Source organism: Homo sapiens, chromosome 1 (assembly GCF_000001405.40).
Source record: "Homo sapiens chromosome 1, GRCh38.p14 Primary Assembly".
Lineage (NCBI taxonomy): Eukaryota > Metazoa > Chordata > Mammalia > Primates > Hominidae > Homo > Homo sapiens.
Window position 1 is genome coordinate 144,919,716 of NC_000001.11, and position 18,522 is coordinate 144,938,237.

General features: G+C 40.8%; 1 protein-coding gene and 1 long non-coding RNA gene across 13 annotated transcripts in view, besides 1 other annotated feature; both read right to left on the minus strand.

Annotated features, from left to right (window-relative positions):
• SRGAP2B (SLIT-ROBO Rho GTPase activating protein 2B) overlaps nt 1-18,522 on the minus strand; it is a 208,093-nt gene that overhangs the window by 32,428 nt on the left and 157,143 nt on the right. Inside the window, exon 1 of one of the 12 annotated variants that reach the window (XM_005277422.5) lies at nt 10,555-10,575. The exons of the other annotated variants lie outside the window; for them this stretch is intronic. The gene's annotated coding sequence lies outside the window, so the exon portion shown is untranslated. Of the gene's footprint in view, nt 1-10,554; nt 10,576-18,522 lie in introns of those variants that run through there. 12 annotated transcript variants of the gene reach the window in all.
• On the minus strand, nt 10,549-11,409 carry LOC107985595 (uncharacterized). The gene is made up of 2 exons (XR_001737760.3): nt 11,323-11,409; nt 10,549-10,597 (listed from the first exon to the last, which is right to left on the minus strand). It is a non-coding gene; the product is annotated as an uncharacterized LOC107985595 (long non-coding RNA).
• Nucleotides 12,190-12,691: an enhancer, noted in NCBI's record as "H3K27ac hESC enhancer chr1:144076705-144077206 (GRCh37/hg19 assembly coordinates)". NCBI's record gives its function as "activates a minimal SCP1, AML or CMV promoter by ChIP-STARR-seq in primed H9 embryonic stem cells {active_cell/tissue: H9 hESC(primed)}" and the evidence as "EXISTENCE:reporter gene assay evidence [ECO:0000049][PMID:30033119]".

Sequence of the window (18,522 nt, forward strand, 5' to 3'; positions counted from 1 at the left end):
ATGTATAAAACACAAATATACTTAATTGCAAAACTTTTATAGAGAGGTAGGCTAGGAGATACCACAACAGGGACACCAGAGGTGCTTTTGCCTTCTGAAGATAGGTAGACTAGGATGTTCAAAAAATACATTTTTTATTGCAATACAGCATAATAGGTGTCTATAATAAAAGTACTTATGTGTCCGGAGTTGGTTCCTTCTGGTGGGTTCTTGGTCTCACTGACTTCAAGAATGAAGCTGTGGACCTTCGCGGTGAGTGTTACAGCTCTTAAGAGTGCTGACTGGTGCATTTACAATCCTTTAGCTAGACACAGAGCACTGATTGGTGCATTTTTACAGAGTGCTGATTGGTGCATTTACAATCCTTTAGCTAGACACAGAGCGCTGATTGGTGCGTTTTTACAGAGTGCTGATTGGTGCATTTACAATCCTCTAGCTAGACAGAAAAGTTCTCCAAGTCCCCACTCCACTGAGGAAGTCCAGCTGGCTTCACCTCTACTTATGTGCTGTCCACTATGATATTTCCTATTTTTTTATCTTCTTTTTTTCTTTTCTTTCTTTCTTTTTAGATACAAGGTCTTGCTCTATTGCCCAGGCTAGAATGCAGTGGCCTGATCATAGCTCACTGCAGCCTTGAACTCTTGGGCTCAACTGTCACGTGATCCTCCTCCCTCAGCTTCCCATGTAGCTGGGACGACAGATGTGTACAAACACGCTGGTTAATTTTTGTAATTTTTGTAGAGATGGGATCTCACTGAGTTTGCTCAGGCTGGTCTCAAACTCCTGGCTTCAAACAATCCTCCTGCCTCAGCTTCCCAAGTAGCTGGTAACAGGCATGCTTGGCTAATTTTTAAAAAAATTGTTTTCAGATATGGAGTCTCGTGATGTTTCCCCAGGCTGGTCTCAAACTCCTGGCCTAAAGATCCCTCCACCTCAGCCTCTTAGAGTAGCTGGGATTATATTCTCGAGCGACTGTGCCTGGCCTTTTCTATTTTTTTATATTGGTCATAACTCACTACATTTATTTTACAACTCATTAATGAGTCATTATACACAGGTTTAAGAAGACTGGTTACATACAAAAGTCTGTACTTGAGGAATTAATAAAGAAAATAGTGGTTTAAGGACTGGAGCCCACTAACTTAGTTAGACAGGAGCTAAAATAACTTGCCGTCTTGAAGTGGCTGATCAGATGTTTCAAAGCAGGTTCAATTATTGAATGCTGGCAAGGGAGAAATGGCTGGATTTTAGGGAGTAAGCAATAAAGAGTCCATCAGCAAATATTTATAGAACATTTATTAAGTGTCAGGCACTTGTGGTCTGAATGCAAAACAGAAAGTTTAAAAGTTTACAACCTGTTGAGAAAGATGGACATTAATCTAACGTCTGGGCCCATCAGAATGCAATTCTTCCAATCTCAAAGGTATTACTAGAAATGGAATATCTTAAGTTAGTTTTTTTAGTTTAAGATCAATTTTTTTTCCTGTCCCAGCCAAGAGGTTTCCACACCATAACCTAATTCCACAGCAAGCTAGATATTGAATCTAGCTTGCCAAAAAAAAAAAAAAAAAAAAAAAAAAAATCTGATTTCAAAAAATCCAGCTATTACATAGTAAATTCTTTTTCTTTGGGTTTGTCTTTCTAAGTTACTAATGGATATTTCAGGTTATAATGATCCAGCTTCAGTATTAGTGACTCCCAAAGCAGTCACATTCCATTTTTAAAGAACCCCTTGAGCTTGTAAGCACCATAAAAAACAATTTCACCAGAAGCTCCTTCACTCAGGAGTTAATGGATATAAACTATCCTAGTGACAAGTTATATTTTAAAAGAAAATGTCAGAAACTTGACTAGTCTAAGGCCCAATACCTGTTTCAGGATTCCTCTTCTGGAATATGAATAGTTTTTGAATTTGATTCCTGTTTAATTATCTGAAAAACTTAGTCTAAAAAAATCTCAAAGCAACTACAATATGAAACCATCTAAAGCTAATGGAAGAGATAGGTTTTACCTTTTTAAGCATTTTTCTGAATCCTCTGTGGTACCCAGCCCATTGCTTTGTGCACAGTGGCCATAAAATAATCAGTTGCTGAATCAATGAGATCAAAGTTTAAATACTATGCTTTCACATAATGACAAGAACTAAACAATATAGCTGCATTTCATCATATAAATTATTAAAAGTGGAAACTCCATCAGAGGTTAGCCACAATGAGCTCCCTTTGGTTATGGTTCACCAATGAGCCCTAAAAGTTGAAATGACTTTTCCAGGGTCAGTAGCCTATCAAGGACCACATGCAGTATTAAAAGAGAGCTGAACATGCAGGCTCTGGAGCAGGAATTGAATCCTACTTCTACTCCCCAATTGATGACCTTGGGTAAATTATATTTAAACCCTCTATGCTTCAGCTTCCACATCTGTAAAATAGGATAATAAGAATAGTGAGATAATCCACATAAAGTGCTTTAAACAGAATCTAGCACCTAGCCTGTTCAATAAATGTTGGCTAATATTAATATTAGAATCCAGCCCCCTCAACACTCACTTGAGTGTTCTTTCCGCTGCACTATGCTGCCTCCTTACGTACTCTCAAACATGTTAAAGATGCTATGTGGAATTGCGAAGGTCCTGGAAACTACTTCCCAGGCAGGATTGTAGCTGAATTCCTCCAATGGGCTCTGTGGGCCCGAAGGGAAGAACGTTCTCTGTTTTTCCTTATGCCTGCTGTTGCATAATCTTTTTCTTCCCCAGTTTCAGTAAGAACTAAATGACTCTGTAAGAAATAATTCAGCTTTCCTGAGGAAAGAAAACAAAAAAACAAAACTCCCAAAACGAAACAAAGAAAGATGATAAAAAGTGCTTAGCAGAAAGGAAGAAATGATGAAGGTAGGGGTGGCAGAATGAAAATAAGGAGGATACAATTACCTTCTATTCCTCCAGATAGATTAAACAGAAAAGATCCTTCTTGGCTGTACAACTAGGATATGGTTCGACTGTGGGCATAAAGGAAACATCCAAAGGAAGGGGCTCCCCACTACCTAGGTCACAGAATACCAAAACCACCCATCAAGTTCTGGTTCAGTGAAATCCAGGACCTCTCTCCTCTAGGACAGAAATGGCTTTCTGAAAGCCATTTCCTTACGGCTTTTCTAGAAGCTCTGGAATGTGTGAGCAGTAACACTTGATAACCCACAAGTAATGCTAGTGGCCCTGGGAGGAAATCCATTCCTTGGCATGATGTGAACTTCGTGGACTCAGCTCCTACCCTCTGTGAATGCTCACTAACAAAGCTCACTTTGGTCCCTGACCAAAGTCTCTTGTCAGGGACAGGCATACTCGGGACAAGGGTGGGAGTTCAGGGGAGTTCAGGGTGGGGTCAGGAAGAGGATAACGGCCCTCTGCTCTCCCAGTCTGAAACACAGTCCTATAATAATCTGAATGTTCTTCCATGGTTGTTCCAATCTCTTTGAATGACCTATCCTAATACTAAGAAAATAAACTCAAAACAACATCCCTTAAAACAGACAATCAAATCTAAGCTTTCATTTCTTAAACTACCACTGTGATCTTTGTCTTGGCAAATTTCCATCTTTTACCCTTTTGGATAATGATTTGGCTGGGGGCGTAATGTCTTCAGGCCCTGATCTCTCATGCCAAAGCATTTCTTGAGGTCATTCTGAAGATGAGTGATCACCCCATTTCCCAAGCAGGACACTAAAAGCACAGAGTAGAAATGGTATCTAGGTGACTGTGGGTAACCTTGAGTAGACTGGGACATAAGGGACAAAAGACACAAAAGCAAACAGGCAACACGAGAGCTCAAATCTCTCAGCAGCTGTAAAATGAACTAAGGAGGAAAAACAATCAATGGCTTGGAACTGGGAGAGAATCGGGGGAAAGAGCCAGAATGATAAGGTACTTGAAAACATATGCCCTTCTACAATAAGGAAATCTATGAGCTGGGGGATGGAAAGAATGCCTGTGTGGCTCCCAGATGGCTGAGCCAGGCGGAGGCTGGAAGAACAGGAGTTAATAGAGCTCATCTGAAAGTTGGAAGTGTGAATGCCAAGAGGAGGAGGGCAGCCTGGTAGGAAGTAAAACAGTCAGCAGCACTCGTACAGGAAATGCCTGGGGCACTGGGAAAATCGCTGATTAAATACTTTTAAGAAAGAGGAACCCAGCAGCAAAGCCAATTCATCGAGAGATCTGTGTAGTTTTAGAACACTGGGAGTAGCCTTTAGAATCGAGAGGAAGAGGCTCCAGTGAGTTATGAAGACAGCATTTTCTTGACACCTCAGGTGCCAGGGTTGGACCTAAGAGGAGCACAAAGCCAACTTTGGGAGAATGAGTAGAGCCCTTTACTGACAGAAATTAGAATGCATTGCCTAGGGACTGGGATGAAGATTTGAGCCTGTATCAGCTTTCGTCAGCTACAATGGTGGTTTGAAGCCTCTTGTCTTTGTCCACAGTAAACACATGGGTAGCCATTCCCATTAGTCATGGCCTACATACAGTTGAAAAAAGAAAAATCAATATTCTTGGGGGAGGATACCTTCCCTCTTGGCCAGTACCCCACTCCTACTGAAAAATCATGGAATTGTGAGAAAAAGAAGGTAGACTTTGGAAATGGAGATTTCCAATCTCCAGCTCTAATTTCTCCCCTAAGCTCTTCGATTTTTCCTCCCCATTTCAGGTTTAAACTTTGTAAATGTTCCACGTACACTTGAAAAGAATGTGTATCTGGCCGGGCGCGGTGGCTCACGCCTGTAATCCCAGCACTTTGGGAGGCCGAGGCGGGCGGATCACGAGGTCAGGAGATCGAGACCAAGGTGAAACCCCGTCTCTACTAAAAATACAAAAAAAAAGTTAGCCGGGCGTAGTGGCGGGCGCCTGTAGTCCCAGCTATTCGGGAGGCTGAGGCAGGAGAATGGCGTGAACCCGGGAGGCGGAGCTTGCAGTGAGCCAAGATCGCACCACTGCACTCCAGCCTCGGTGACAGAGCGAAACTCCGTCTCAAAAAAAAAAAAAAAAAAAAGAATGTGTATCTACCCGCAGTTGTCAGGCGCAGTATCCATATATGTCATTTAGGTCAAGTTTGTTGTATTTTTACTGACTTTTTTGGTCTAGTTGTTTAATCATTCACTGAGACAGGTGTGTTAAATCTCTCATTAGGGTGATGATTTATCTAGTTCCCATTTTAATTCTGTCCCATTTGATTTACATATTTTAAGCCTATGTTATTAAGTATATATTTCTTCCTGGAAACTTAGTCTTTACTAGGAAATGTCTCTCTCTCTTCTTTTTTGAGACAGAGTCTCACTCTATCACCAGGCTGGAGTGCAGTGGCGCCATCTCGGCTCACTGCAACCTCCGCCTCCTGGGTTCAAGTGATTCCCCTGCCTCAGCCTCCCAAGTAGCTGGGACTACAGGTGTTCACCACCATGCCTGGATAATTTTTTGTATTTTAGTAAAGACAGAGAGTTTCACTATTTTGGCCGGGATGATCTCGAACTCCTGACCTCAAGTGATCTGCCTGCCTCGGCCTCCGAAAGTGCTGTGATTACAGGAGTGAGCCACCATGCCCAGCCTGGAAATGTCTCTCTTTATAACGAAAAATACTTTTTGCATTGAAATCTACCTGGACTGCCTGGGCACGGTGGCTCAGGCTTGTAATCCTAGCACCTTTTGAGGCCCAGGTGGGCAGATCACTTGAGGTCAGGAGTTTGAGACCAGCCTGGCTGACATGGTGAAACGCTGTCTCTACTAAAAATACAAAAATTAGCTGGGCATGGTGGCGCATGCCTGTAATCCCAGCTATCTGGGAGGCTGAGGTGGGAGAACTGCTTGAACCCAGGAGGCAGAGGTTGCAGTGAGCTGAGATTGCACTACTGCCCTCCAGCCTGGGTGACAGAGCAAGACTCAGAAAAAAAAAAAAAAAGAAAGAAAAAAAAAGGACAGAAAGAAAGAAGTGGGGGGGCAGAGAGAGAGAGAAAGAGAGAGAGAGAGAAAGAAAAGAAAGAAAGAAAGAAAGAAAGAAAGAAAGAAAGAAAGAAAGAAAGAAAGAAAGAAAGAAAGAAAGGAGAGAGAAAGAAAGAAAGGAATCTACCTGGCCTGATTTTATTGTAGCTATCTTTTCCTATCACTTTGCTTTAAATCTTTCTTTATCCTTATATTTAAAGTGTATCTGTTCTCTTACAAGCAACATACACTCTAGTTTTGCTTTTTAAAAATCTGTCTTTAATTTGCATAAGTCAATTTACACCTTATATTATGGTTTAAACCCACCAACTTGCTAATTGCTTTCTATTTGTCCTGCCTCTTCTATTTTCCTCTTTCCTCTCCTTTCCTACCTTCTTTTTTTCTTCCATTTACAAAACATTCAGAAAATTCACTCTTGTTGGCATACAGTTCCATGTGCTTTGGCAAATGCACAGAGTTGTCTAACCATCACCACAATTAAGACACAGAACAGTTCCATCACCCACCAAAAACCTCTTGTATCCTGCACCTTTAGAGTCAAACTCTCCGCTACCCTTAACCACTGGAAGCCATTGATTTGTTCTGTATCTCTATAGTTTTGCCCTCCCCAGAATTTTTCTTTCCTTCTTTTGAGTTACTTTTTTATTAACTGAATTTGTCCCTTTCTTAGATTGGTACAATACTATTCTTTGAGTGGTTACCAAAAATTACAACATATATCCTTGAATTGCCAACACCTAATACAAATTACTACTTTTACCACTTTCTGAAAATATCTTTAAACCCATTTCCCTACCCCCACCCAGACACAGATTCTATTGTTGATTTCATTGTTGCCATTTATATTAATTTTATACATATTTAAAACCCCACAGGGTTGGCCTGGTGTGGTGGCTCATGCCTGTAACCGCAGCACTTTGGAAGGCCAAGGCAGGAAGATCACTTGAAGCCAGGAGTTCAAGACCAGGCTGGGCAACAGATAGACCCTCTCTTTACAAAAAATAAAAAATAAGCCAGGCATGGTGGCACACACCTCTTGTCCCAGCTGTTATACTTGGGACGCTGAGGTGGGAGGATCATTTGAGCCCAGGAGTTCAAGGCTGCAGTGAGCTATAATTGTGCCACCGCAGTCCAGGCTGGGCAGCAGAGCAAGACTCTGTCCCTCCCACCCACACATCTAAAAAAGGAAAACCCCACAGATGATTATTAGTGTTGTTTTTAACAGTGATTATTCACTTAGATCTATATTTTTTTTCTTTTTTCTTTTTTTTGGAGACGGAGTCTCACTCAGTTGCCCAGGCTGGAGTGTAGTGGCATGATCTCGTTTCACTGCAAGCTCTGCCTCCCGGCTTCACGCCATTCTCCTGCCTCAGCCTCCCAAGTAGCTGGGACTACAGGTGCCCGCCACTATGCCTGGCTAATTTTTTTGTATTTTTAGTAGAGATGGGGTTTCACCATGTTATCCAGGATGGTCTCAATCTCCTGACCTCGTGATCTGCCCGTCTCGGCCTCCCAAAGTGCTGGGATTACAGGCATGAGCCACCGTGCCCGGCCAATCTATATTCTTATATATAGTTGCTGTTGCTCCTCATTCTTTACTGCATTTCTAAGATTCTATTTGGGATCATTTTCCTTCTGCCTAAATAATGCCATTTAGTATTTCTTTTAGTGCAAGTCTGCTGGTGATATATTTTCTCATATTTTTCTTGTCTGAAAACATCTTTAGTTCACCTTCATTTTTGAAGGGTATTCCTTTCTACACTTTCATTCCACTGTCATCTGCTTTCCATTGCTTTTGTCCAGAAGTCAGCTGTCAACCATGCTGTTGCTCCACTGAAGATAATACGTCTTTTTTACCTCTAGCTGTTTGTATTTTCTTTGTATTTCTCCTGTTTGGGGCTCATAATGCTTCAGTCTGTGGCTTGAAGTCTTTTATAGTTTAGGGAAATTCACAGCCATTATCTCTTCAAATATTGCTTCTATCCCATTCTCTTTGTTCTCTTCTTCTGAGACTTCAAGTAGAAGCATGTTAGGCCTACTTACCCTATCCCATAAGTCTCTTATGCTCTTTTCTGTATTTTCCATCTGTTTATCTCTCTGAGCTTCAGTATGCATTGTTTTCTGACGTTTCAGTTCATTAATTATTTATTCAGCACCATCTAATCTGCTACTTGATCTACACATTGAGCTCTTTTAGTTACTGCATTTTTTGTACTAAAATTTGTTTGATTTTTTAAATTATTGAGATATAATTCACACACTGTACAATTCACCACTACAAGGTACACAATTCAGTGGCTATTAGTATATTTGCAAGGTTGTACAACCACCACCACTAAGTCCCGAATATTTAATCATGCCAAAAGAAAACTCAAACCTGTTAGTAGTCACTCCCCATCTCTCCTTCCCCCAGCTCCTAGCAACCACTAATCTACTTTCTGTCTCTATAGATTTGCATACTCTGGACATTTACTATAAATGGAATCATATAATATGTGGCCTTTTATGTTTAGCTTCTTTCACTTATAATGTTTTCAGGGTATATCCATATTGTAGCATGTATCAGCACTTCCTTCTTTTTTATGACTAAATACTACTCTATTGTATGGACATGACACATTTTGTTTAAATTGTATAGGTATGCCATACTTTGTTTAAGTTTGTTCCATAAATCACTTCATTAACATTTGGGTTGCTTCCACTTTTTGGTTATTTATTTATTTATTTATTTATTTATTTATTTATTTATTTATTTATTTTGAGATGGAGTCTCGCTCTGTCGCCCAGGCTGGAGTGCAGTGGCGCGATCTCTGCTCACTGCAAGCTCCGCCTCCTGGGTTCACGCCATTCTCCTGCCTCAGCTTCCCCAGTAGCTGGGACCACAGGTGCCTGCCATCACGCCTGGCCAATTTTTTTGTATTTTTAGTAGAGGCAGGGTTTCACCATGTTAGCCAGGATGGTCTCGATCTCCGGACCTCGTGATCTGCCCACCTCAGCCTCCCAAAGTGCTGGGATTACAGGCGTGAGCCACCGTGCCCAGCCTGGTTATTTTGAATAATGCTGTTATGAACATTTGTGTATAAGTTCTTGTGTGAGCATATGTTTTCAATTCTCTTGGGTATACACCTAGATGTGGAATTGATGGGTCACAGGTTAATTCTATGCTTAAGTTTTGGAGGAATTTTCAGTTTTCCATAGCATCTGCACCATTTTACAATCTCACCAGCAATGTATGAGGGTTCTGATTCCTCCATACCCTCTCCAAAACTCTTCTTTCCTTTTCTTTCTTCCTTTTTAAAATTATAGCTATCCTAGTGGGTGTGAAGTGGTGTTTCATTGTGGTTTTGATTTGCAGTAGCCCAATAAATAACAGTGTCAAAAATGTGCTTGTTGGCCATTTGTGTATCTTCTGTGGAGAAATGCCTATTCAAGTCTTTTGCCCATTTTTAAACTGGACTGGTCATCTTTTTGTTGCTGAGTTGTAAGAATTCTTTATATATTCTGAAAATTAGACCTTGATGAGATATATGATTTGAAAATACCTTTTCTCATTCTATAGCTGTCTTTTCATTTTCTTGACAGTGTCCTCTCAAACACAGAGGTTTCTGACTTTGATGAAGTTCAATTTATTTATTTTTTCTTTTGTCGCTTGTGCTTTGGTGTCATATGTAAGAAATCATTGCCTAATCCAAGATCACGAAGACTTACACCTATATTTTCTTCTAAGAGTTTTATAGTTTTGGCTCTTGCATTTATGCCTTTGATCCATTTTGAGTTAATTTTTTTATTATTTCCAGGTTTGTTTTTATAATTTAATCTCATAAACATATTAAACATAGTTAATTTAAAGTTTGCATCTGTTAACACCATTACTAGGATCTCCTGTGGGTCTAGCTGTTTCTCTTAGCTTTTGGTCACAGTTCTTATTTCCTCATAGGCCTAATTATTTATAACTGAGTGCCAAACATCATAATGAAAAATGATGAGAGATATATTAGGTCTAGGATGATAGTATCTTCCACAGTATCTTCCTCTAGAGAGGATTTAAATTTGTTTCTAGCCACTGGCTATCCTAAATCACCTTAATCCAATTAGAGGTTAAGATAATTTGAATCCAGGCTTCAGTCTCTATGAAACTGCCTTAGTCTATTTCTGGCTTATCTTTCCTTCTTAATTGTATCCCTTTGGTGTCTCAAAGCCTGGGGAATTTTACCAAGGCTACCCATCCTGGGCCCCTGGGCCTTAAATTTCCATATTTGTCCTGCTAGCCCTACAAGTCTATTAAACACTCTGCTCAGCTTTTTGACACTCAGTAATATTTTCTAAAATGGCAGAAGCCTCTTCAAGGAAAGCAGCTCCCATGAAGCAAAAGGATTGGTCTGAATTTTCTTCTAGAAAAGCTTCCATTTCTAGAAGCACAACTCTAAGTTTAAATTTTGAAAACAGATTATCTTATGTTTATTTGTAGCCCTCACCAGGCCCAGTGCAATTCTGGAAACCTAATAAGAATGGAAATATGCTTTGTTTGATACAATGAACAGATACTGGTGATAGTGAAGGCTTGCCACACTTACGTTTTAAGTTGTTCATTTCCCAGGACGTGGTAACCAAAGCATTCTGGTAAAACAAGAGAGAAGCAAGCCTGAGGTTTCAAGTATGGTTTCACATTACTTCCTTAGGGACTTTTCAAAAACCACACTCCATCAAACAGAAAAAGGAGGTTAAATCTACCTCAAATAAAGGACATCTCTGAAATTAGCTGAATGATTAAGAATCCAGATACTAATCTCAGAGATCCTCTGGTGACCACCAAATGGAGGAACTCTACAAGAAATTCTAAAAATTGGCACGTATAAAAGCTCTATATGGGGCCATCTGGGGTCTGAGAAAGATTTGGGCATCTAGTTCGTGAGACATGTGAAAATGTCAGCTTCACCAGCCACCTCAAATTCTGTAACAGCACACTGGCTTTTCCTAAGTGACACTAGCATAAAAAAATTGAAAGAAGTAATCACTGACTTCGAATTCTCTTTCCAATAAGTGGCCATACGCTGTTCATTTCTCCTTCATGATATGTCTGGCATCTGTCTCCTTCTTTTCATTCCTCCTGTCACTGCTACCACATCTCAGGCTCTTATTACCCTGTCCTGGAATTAGAGGCCCAGTCTTTCAGAAATAGCAGCAATATTTTATCATTTCCCTATGAGTAGGTCTTCCATCGTTCCCTAGTGCTCTCAGAATGAAGTTCAAACTCCAAGTTTGGCATTCGAGGCTCTTTTCGGCTTTGTTTCAAGCTGCTCTCCTCATTAACACTCTGATTTAGCCAAACTATTTTTACTCACCACCCTCTGAAGAGTCCTCACACATTCCGGTGCTCTCCTTCATCCTGAAGCCTGTTCTTCCATATGGAATATCCTTTGACTCCAGCTCCCCCTCCATGCTCACAAACTCCGTACTTTTTCATCTTTAATTACTGAAATCATTTTCATTCACTAAAAATCCAGCTCAAATTTCACCTCTCTACATCTCTCTGCACAAAAAGCACTTAGTACTTACAGACGCTAAAGCTTAGAGAGGTCAAAAAATTTGTCCATGAGAACAACTATTAATTGGTGAAGTTGGAATTGAACTCATAAACTCCTTCAATGCTATTTTGTCTTATCTGTATTCTCCTAATCTTATACAATGCCTTGCATATAGTAAGCACCTAATAATTACAGAGCGAAGATAGGGGGAAGAAAGGCCATAAATTTTCACAGCAAGAAAGACATATACAAAAGAATATTCTTGATGTATCAGTTTTTAAATTCATCAGATATATTCTGCAGAAAAGGTTGTGATTCCATCTGTTAAAAAGAGAATCATATAAGCAGAACTATAAAAATAAGCTGCTAGAATATTCTGGTTAAAGGAAAGAAATCTAAAACTCAATCAGCTTTAGATTTGCTTTAAATCCCATTTGCTACATTGGGATTGTTGGCAGTTCAAAGGGCAAATGGCAAAAGCATGTCTCACCACGCACCCTGGCCACAGTGCAGATGGAACTCAGCCAAGGGGTTACCCAGCTAGAAAGCATTACTGCTTTCCCACTGACCAGGGCAGTCCTGTGGAAGCCTTCAACAGCCCATGTGTTCTTTGCTTTGGTCTTGGGACTTAAGGATAAATGAGATGAGGATGGTGGGTAAATGACAAGGGTAGGCACTGTCTTGGGGGCACTGCTTCTCATTCTTGCCCTACAGAGTTCAGGCAACAATCTTCTTGGGGAGCCCCAAGGAAGGGGGTGGAAAGAGGCTGAAGACAATGGGGGCTTTCAGGAGTCCCCTTAATACCCAGAGAAGCAAGGAGCAGAGCAAAGGTTCAAACACCCAGGGGAAAGGAAATCGCTTCTTGATCCCTTCCAAACACAAGGACCATGATCAAAGAATTGCTTGCTGTAGTTATCGCAAAAAGAAAACAACAACAGGCCTTCCTGCATTCCTGCCTTTCCATGCCAGGCTGTCCTCTCCCCATGATCGTCCCCACCCCCCAAATCCTGGGGACAATTGAGCTGTGTCTCTGGCATGTGTGGAGCTGCAGGTCACGGCCATATTTAACAAGAACATTCATTCTCCACAGGCGCTACAGGGCTCCTCAAAACACCCTTTGTGTCACTGTGCCTTTCTCTCCACTGCCCTTGACACTAATTTAATCAAGATGTCCTTCTAGCTTGTAGATGGGGTGGACTCGTCAGTTCCGCATTCCTCCTGGCATTAGGGCTTTGCAGCCAAATATGTAGACTTGAAACCAGCAAGTTGAGATGGGGTCAGGGTCTCCAAGCCAGAGCATGCAGACCTTTTGGGTAAACCCTAGGCATAAAGAGTGGACTAGCTCTGTGGTATGTTTTTATAATTTTTAGTTAACCCTAAATATTCTGGAGGAGTTGAGAAATATTTTCTTAGGCAAGTATGTAGACATTTAGAAGCATTTTTTTTTAAAGCAAGAAAAAAGACAAAATTTTATCTCTATATTTTTGGACTCATCAGTACTGTTTCTAGAATGCAGAACTAGAAAAAATAGCTCCTTGTCACAACTATGCCTGTCCTTTTTCTCCTAGTCTGCACTCTCCATAATTTTGCAAAATCTGAAAACTTCAGTTCTTTCCCAAGAACCAGATTTTAATTCAGATTTGCCTTCCTTAGCTGTTTCTCTAGACCACAGTCAGTATCCAGAAGAGAATGTCAAAACTGCGGTAGGGAATTTAACCAATAAGGAAAATAAAAAAATAAACCATCTAGAGCCCTGGGTCCCCAACCAGGTTACCTGATTCCTGGTCTAATGTTCATTTCCTATGCTGTGGTAGCTCCCAAAGAGGGCATCACTGCTCATCAGTACCCCTACCCCGGCCCTGAGTTGATTTGTGGACGCCAAGCCAAACATTTGAAGTGTGAGTATTACGGGCCAGAAGGAGTCAAATGCATTTGAGGAGGGCATGAGGCAGGCCCAGGGAACTCAGACAATCTATCTTAGGAGCTGATTTGAATGTGTGTTGAAATTCTTCTGTCAACCACAGATCCAACTGTCATGACCTCCCGCCTGGGACATGTAACTATTCCTTCCATCATCTGCCTGCCAGTTTAATCAGCTCACATCAGCAGCGGCAGAAAAATATTCAAAGGGCTATGTTTCATGACCCACAAGGGCATTTTCAGAAACCCAGTAAGACTCCAGAATATAAGAGGGGTGTACCCTCTATAGATTTTGGAGCAAAAAGCTCAACTCCCTATCCTTAACTCTTTCTCCTCTCGCCTAGGTCAAGTAGGCCATTGACCTGGGGTCAGGAACAACCCTAAGTTCTTAGACCAATTTCAAAGTTATCTTTAAGTAATGTTATAAACCAAATTAAACTCCCAGTCATGAAAAACTGAAAGGCTCTTTCCAGCTCCCTCACAAAGCTATAGTGCAAAAATTCACCACCCTCAAATCAACAAACATATCTTCCATGTTGTTTCTTAAAGTAAGAACTGAGCCACTTCCCTTTTCCCCTCTGTCTTGTTGCCGGCTTGCTTATTTTCTCTCTTTCTCTGGAAAAGTCAATAAGAAATGCTTCCCTGATACTGTCAAATCATAAGAACATGGCCTACAGCTCTAGGTTTTGTATTAGGGCAAAGAGCAGGCATTCTGAACCCAAGAGAGGATACTGCTAAGCCTGAAAGTGGCAAAAGTTTGGGGAAAGGGCTAATGGAAGCAGCCTCTGGGCTACGCAGAACACCATCTCATTTGCTCACATCCTATAACCAAATGATGAGCACATCCACACTGGAGATTAGAAATAGCTCTCAGCTGAACAACAGGAATTTGGTCCAGGAGAAGCAACACCTTGTGAAACATCATTTAATGAAACCTACAATATGTTTAATAAAGTCAGCTATTCTTAGAAGAGCAACCCAGGGCCGGGTGCAGTGGCTTATGCCTGTAATCTCAGCAGTTTGGGAGGCCGAGGCGGGTGGATCACCTGAAGTCAAGAGTTCGAGACTAGCCTGGCCAACATAGTGAAACCCTGTCTCTACTAAATATACAAAAATTAGCCAGGCATGGTGGCACATACTATAATCCCAGCTACTCGGGAGGCTGAGGCAAGAGAATCACTTGAACCTGGGAGGCGGGGGTTACAGTGAGTCAAGATCGCGCACTGCACTCCAGCCTGGGCAACAAGAGCAAAACTCCATCTCAAAAAAAAAAAAAAAAAAAAAAAGAGCAACCCAGAGGTTATATAGATGCCTGTTAATCTATAAAAAATGTGATATTTCCCCCCATTTCAGAATTTTTCCAGCATTTAAATCTATAGCACAAAATGTAAACCCTGCTTATTGATTCCAAACATAGCCTAAATGGCTCTTCTGTCTTCTCTACTCCTCCTCTCACTGCCTTAGATCAGGGCCCCGCTCTTGAATGAACTACTGTAGTAACTTTTTCCCTGTTCTCACATCTCTCTCACATCCAAACATTTCAGAGTAATCTTTCTAAAAGGCAAATCTGTCCATGGCACTCTCTTGGTAAAATCCGCTAGTAGAATTGTTTCAGTTAACAAGCATGCTAAAAATTAGTAAGCAAAGGATGAGGAGAAATAGGATATTTACATAGTATCTTCACAAGACATTTATTACAGTGCAAAGGGGACACCCATCCTCACCGAGTAATTAAAATTATCACCATCAGTAATGGGGACAAATCAACGGCAAGTGCCTCCTGATATAACGCACTAAGAAAAATATGACATCGCTTCTACGGTGTTCTTGCCAAAATTGCTTAAACTGAATCCAATCATGAGGAAACCAAACAAACCAAAATTGAGGAACATTCTACAAAATAACTGACCAGAACTCTTTAAAACCATGAAAGACAAAGCAAGACAGAGGAACTGTCAGAGATTAGAGGATACTAAGATGACAGTTCACCTCGACATCATGTGTGATCCTAAACTGAACCCTGAACCAGAAATTTGAATTGGACATTAGCAAGGCAACAAGTGAAATTTCAGTAAGATTGAGAGATTATAGTATTACCTCTGTGTTAATTTCCTGATTTTGATCATTGTACTGTGATTATACGAGATTTTTTAAAAATCTCGCCCCCAAATATTGGAAAGATGGGATTTTAACATTTGGGGAATTTGGGTTAAGGGTACAGAGGAATTTCTGGACTACTTTGCAATCTTTCTTTAAGTCTGAAATTATCTCAAAATAAGAAGTTAAAACAATAACATTACAGGGGCTTCTGCTTCACTGGCTTCAGGGTATAAGCCCTTTGATGTGGCAGGCAAGGCCCTGCCCACCTCCTCAGCCTCATCGCTTGCCACTCCCCTACAAGGGACCTGTGTGCAGCCATCCTCACCCACACCACCTGTAGTTCCGGAACGCTTTTCACCTATTATACTTCCTTGCTTTCTGCATAAATGGTTTTATCTCCCAGAAATCCCCTATGCTCCCCTCTCCTACACTCCCATTCTTCCTAAGATACAAAGGACATCATAAGGCAAACCTCACCTCATATTTCCCTCCACCCAAGAACCCATTATTACACTGTATCATCATAGCTTATGTGCATGTCTATTTCTCCCACTAGACACTGTATTCAATATCAGGGGCCACGTCAGCCATCTTCATATTTTCAACACATGGCCCAGAAAGTCAGAAATCTATCTGCCCCAGAGAGTCAGAACTCAATTCACTGTGTATTGAGGAAACATAATGTTTCCACTTAGAACTATCATAATAGCCCAATGGTTTGCCAAGCACTTTCATAGAAATTCCCTCACTTAATTACAGAATTTCAGAGATAAATCTTAGAGAGATTAGTCCAAACCATTATCTTACAGATTAGAAAACTAAGTCCTAGACAGGTTACAAAGTTAGGCGGCATTCACAGTCAAAGTTAGGCTGTGAGTCAGTGTGAAACGTAGGATAAGATTCTCATTCCCAGATCAGGAATTTTTTTTCTTTAATTCATAAACTACAAGAGCCTCTTTCCTCCAACCAACAAATACCACAGGATGTGTACAGGCAGAATTGTCTGGGCCTGGTGTGGTGCTTGGGGAAAGCATTTAATAAACACTTGCTAAAACGAGCTGAATCACCAGGGAGCAGCACCTCAATTCCTTATTTCACTCAGGTTGAACCTGAACAAGGTGTGACTCTAAGGTCTAACCTAACCTGACTACATCTTGTGAGGAATGCGCAGCCAGAATACACTAGTCTTAAGTGAGAAGGCCTGATTTTCCAACTAAGAGATCTCTGATTCAGAGAGCAGGATCCTGGCTTTCCTCCAGGGCTGATGGGAGGATGAGGCAGACACTGCATAGCCCCGAGCTATGTGGTATCAGGCCAGAGGCAACAAGCTCAGATCACTTCCTTACATCTAACCTGGGGAGGAAGCCCATCCAGTGTGTCAGAAATCATCTGCTCTGATTACAACAGCCTTTTTAATCTTCCTGGCCCAAGAGGGGATACGCACTGATAACTTTAATAATGCCAGCAGGTACAATTAATTTCCATTCCCACTATTTCCCACTCTTCGTATGAAGGGGACTGGAAGGATGGAATTAGATTCCACTGGGGCTTCAGCCTGCAGCTTGAGACAGACTGCCTGACACTCAGCAGGGAAAACCTCATCTTGTGTTTCATCAGAAGGACCAATGCTGATATATCAATGTTTGAAAAATCTGTGTGGCCTTAAGCACAGGGGTAATTCTTTTGTGGTTGGGTAACAATGACTACAAAATTAAATTAAATTAAATAACAAAGCCAAGACAGGATTTGATATGAGTCTAATGAACAGTTATTAAGCAAGATTTAATCAAAATGATACTGAAGTATTTTCCATTGTTTCCAAGAAGAATATCTATTTTATCAGTCAACACGTCCTGCATTTAGTGTATCTCTAAAGTAAAGTTTTTTGTGACTCTTTCAAGAATTTTTCTTAAATTAAAAACTTAAAGTCAGCTAGAAAAGGATATCTTGATTTATGTAACATTTCTCTTCCAAAGCAGTTTCCTATCCTTTGTCATTGTTATCCTCACAGGATCTCCAGGAGGCAAAGTGGGCAAGAAGTATGCTTCTTGTTCAGTTTATAGATGGGCACATGGGAGTCTGGGAAAGTCAAATTTTTGTGTAGGATTCACAAGAAGGTAATGCAGGAGTTGGAAGTAAATTTGTTTTTAATTCTCTGTCTCAGGCTTACCCTGTTATATTCCTTCTCCTTATTAGCTGAAACGGCAAGAAAAGTGCTTAAAATTTTAAAGGAGGTTAAGTTGTAGGCACCACAGTTTCCCAAGATTCTAAAACCCAAATCTAATGACATTTGTTCAGTTCCCATTCTTCCTGACCCCTTCATAGAACTCATCATTGAGTCTTCTTCTCTCTTAAGTCCTTTGAGCCATATTACTCTCATTTTCCTTTTGCCCATTTTAATTTGTTCTTCTCTCTTCTTTGCTAGCTCTTCAAAGTCTTCTTTCTAGGCCTCAACTACCCTTTACTCTGAATACCCTTTCATGACCTCAACTGGTCTTTTGTGTGGTTAATTTTCAAGTCTTCTTCTAGCTCTTGCCCTCACTAAACCTTCCCTTTACCATGTCTAAAGCTGAAGTCAGAAATATGGTATGTACTGGACAGAGCAGTGAGTAGAATTTAGAAGACCTGGTAGTTTCAGTCACATCTCAACTACTACCTAACTGGGTAAACTAAGGCAAGTTACTTCTCATTGGCTCTCAGATTCTTCATGAATTACAGGGCTTGACTAGAATCAGTGGCTCTTCCACACACTTCCCTCAATAAATGGCAATTCCAACTTCGAATCGTTCAGGCCAGAATGCTTGGGGTCATCTTTGACTGCTATTTTTTTCATACACCATATCAATCAAGCAGCAAATCCTATTGGCTCCATCTTCAAAATATATCCCAGAATTTGACCACTTCTCACCATCTCCAAAGCTCCACCCTGTTTCAATCCACTATGATTTCCTGCCCTAATTATTTATAGAAGCTCCCTTAATTGGTCTTCCCTTGCTG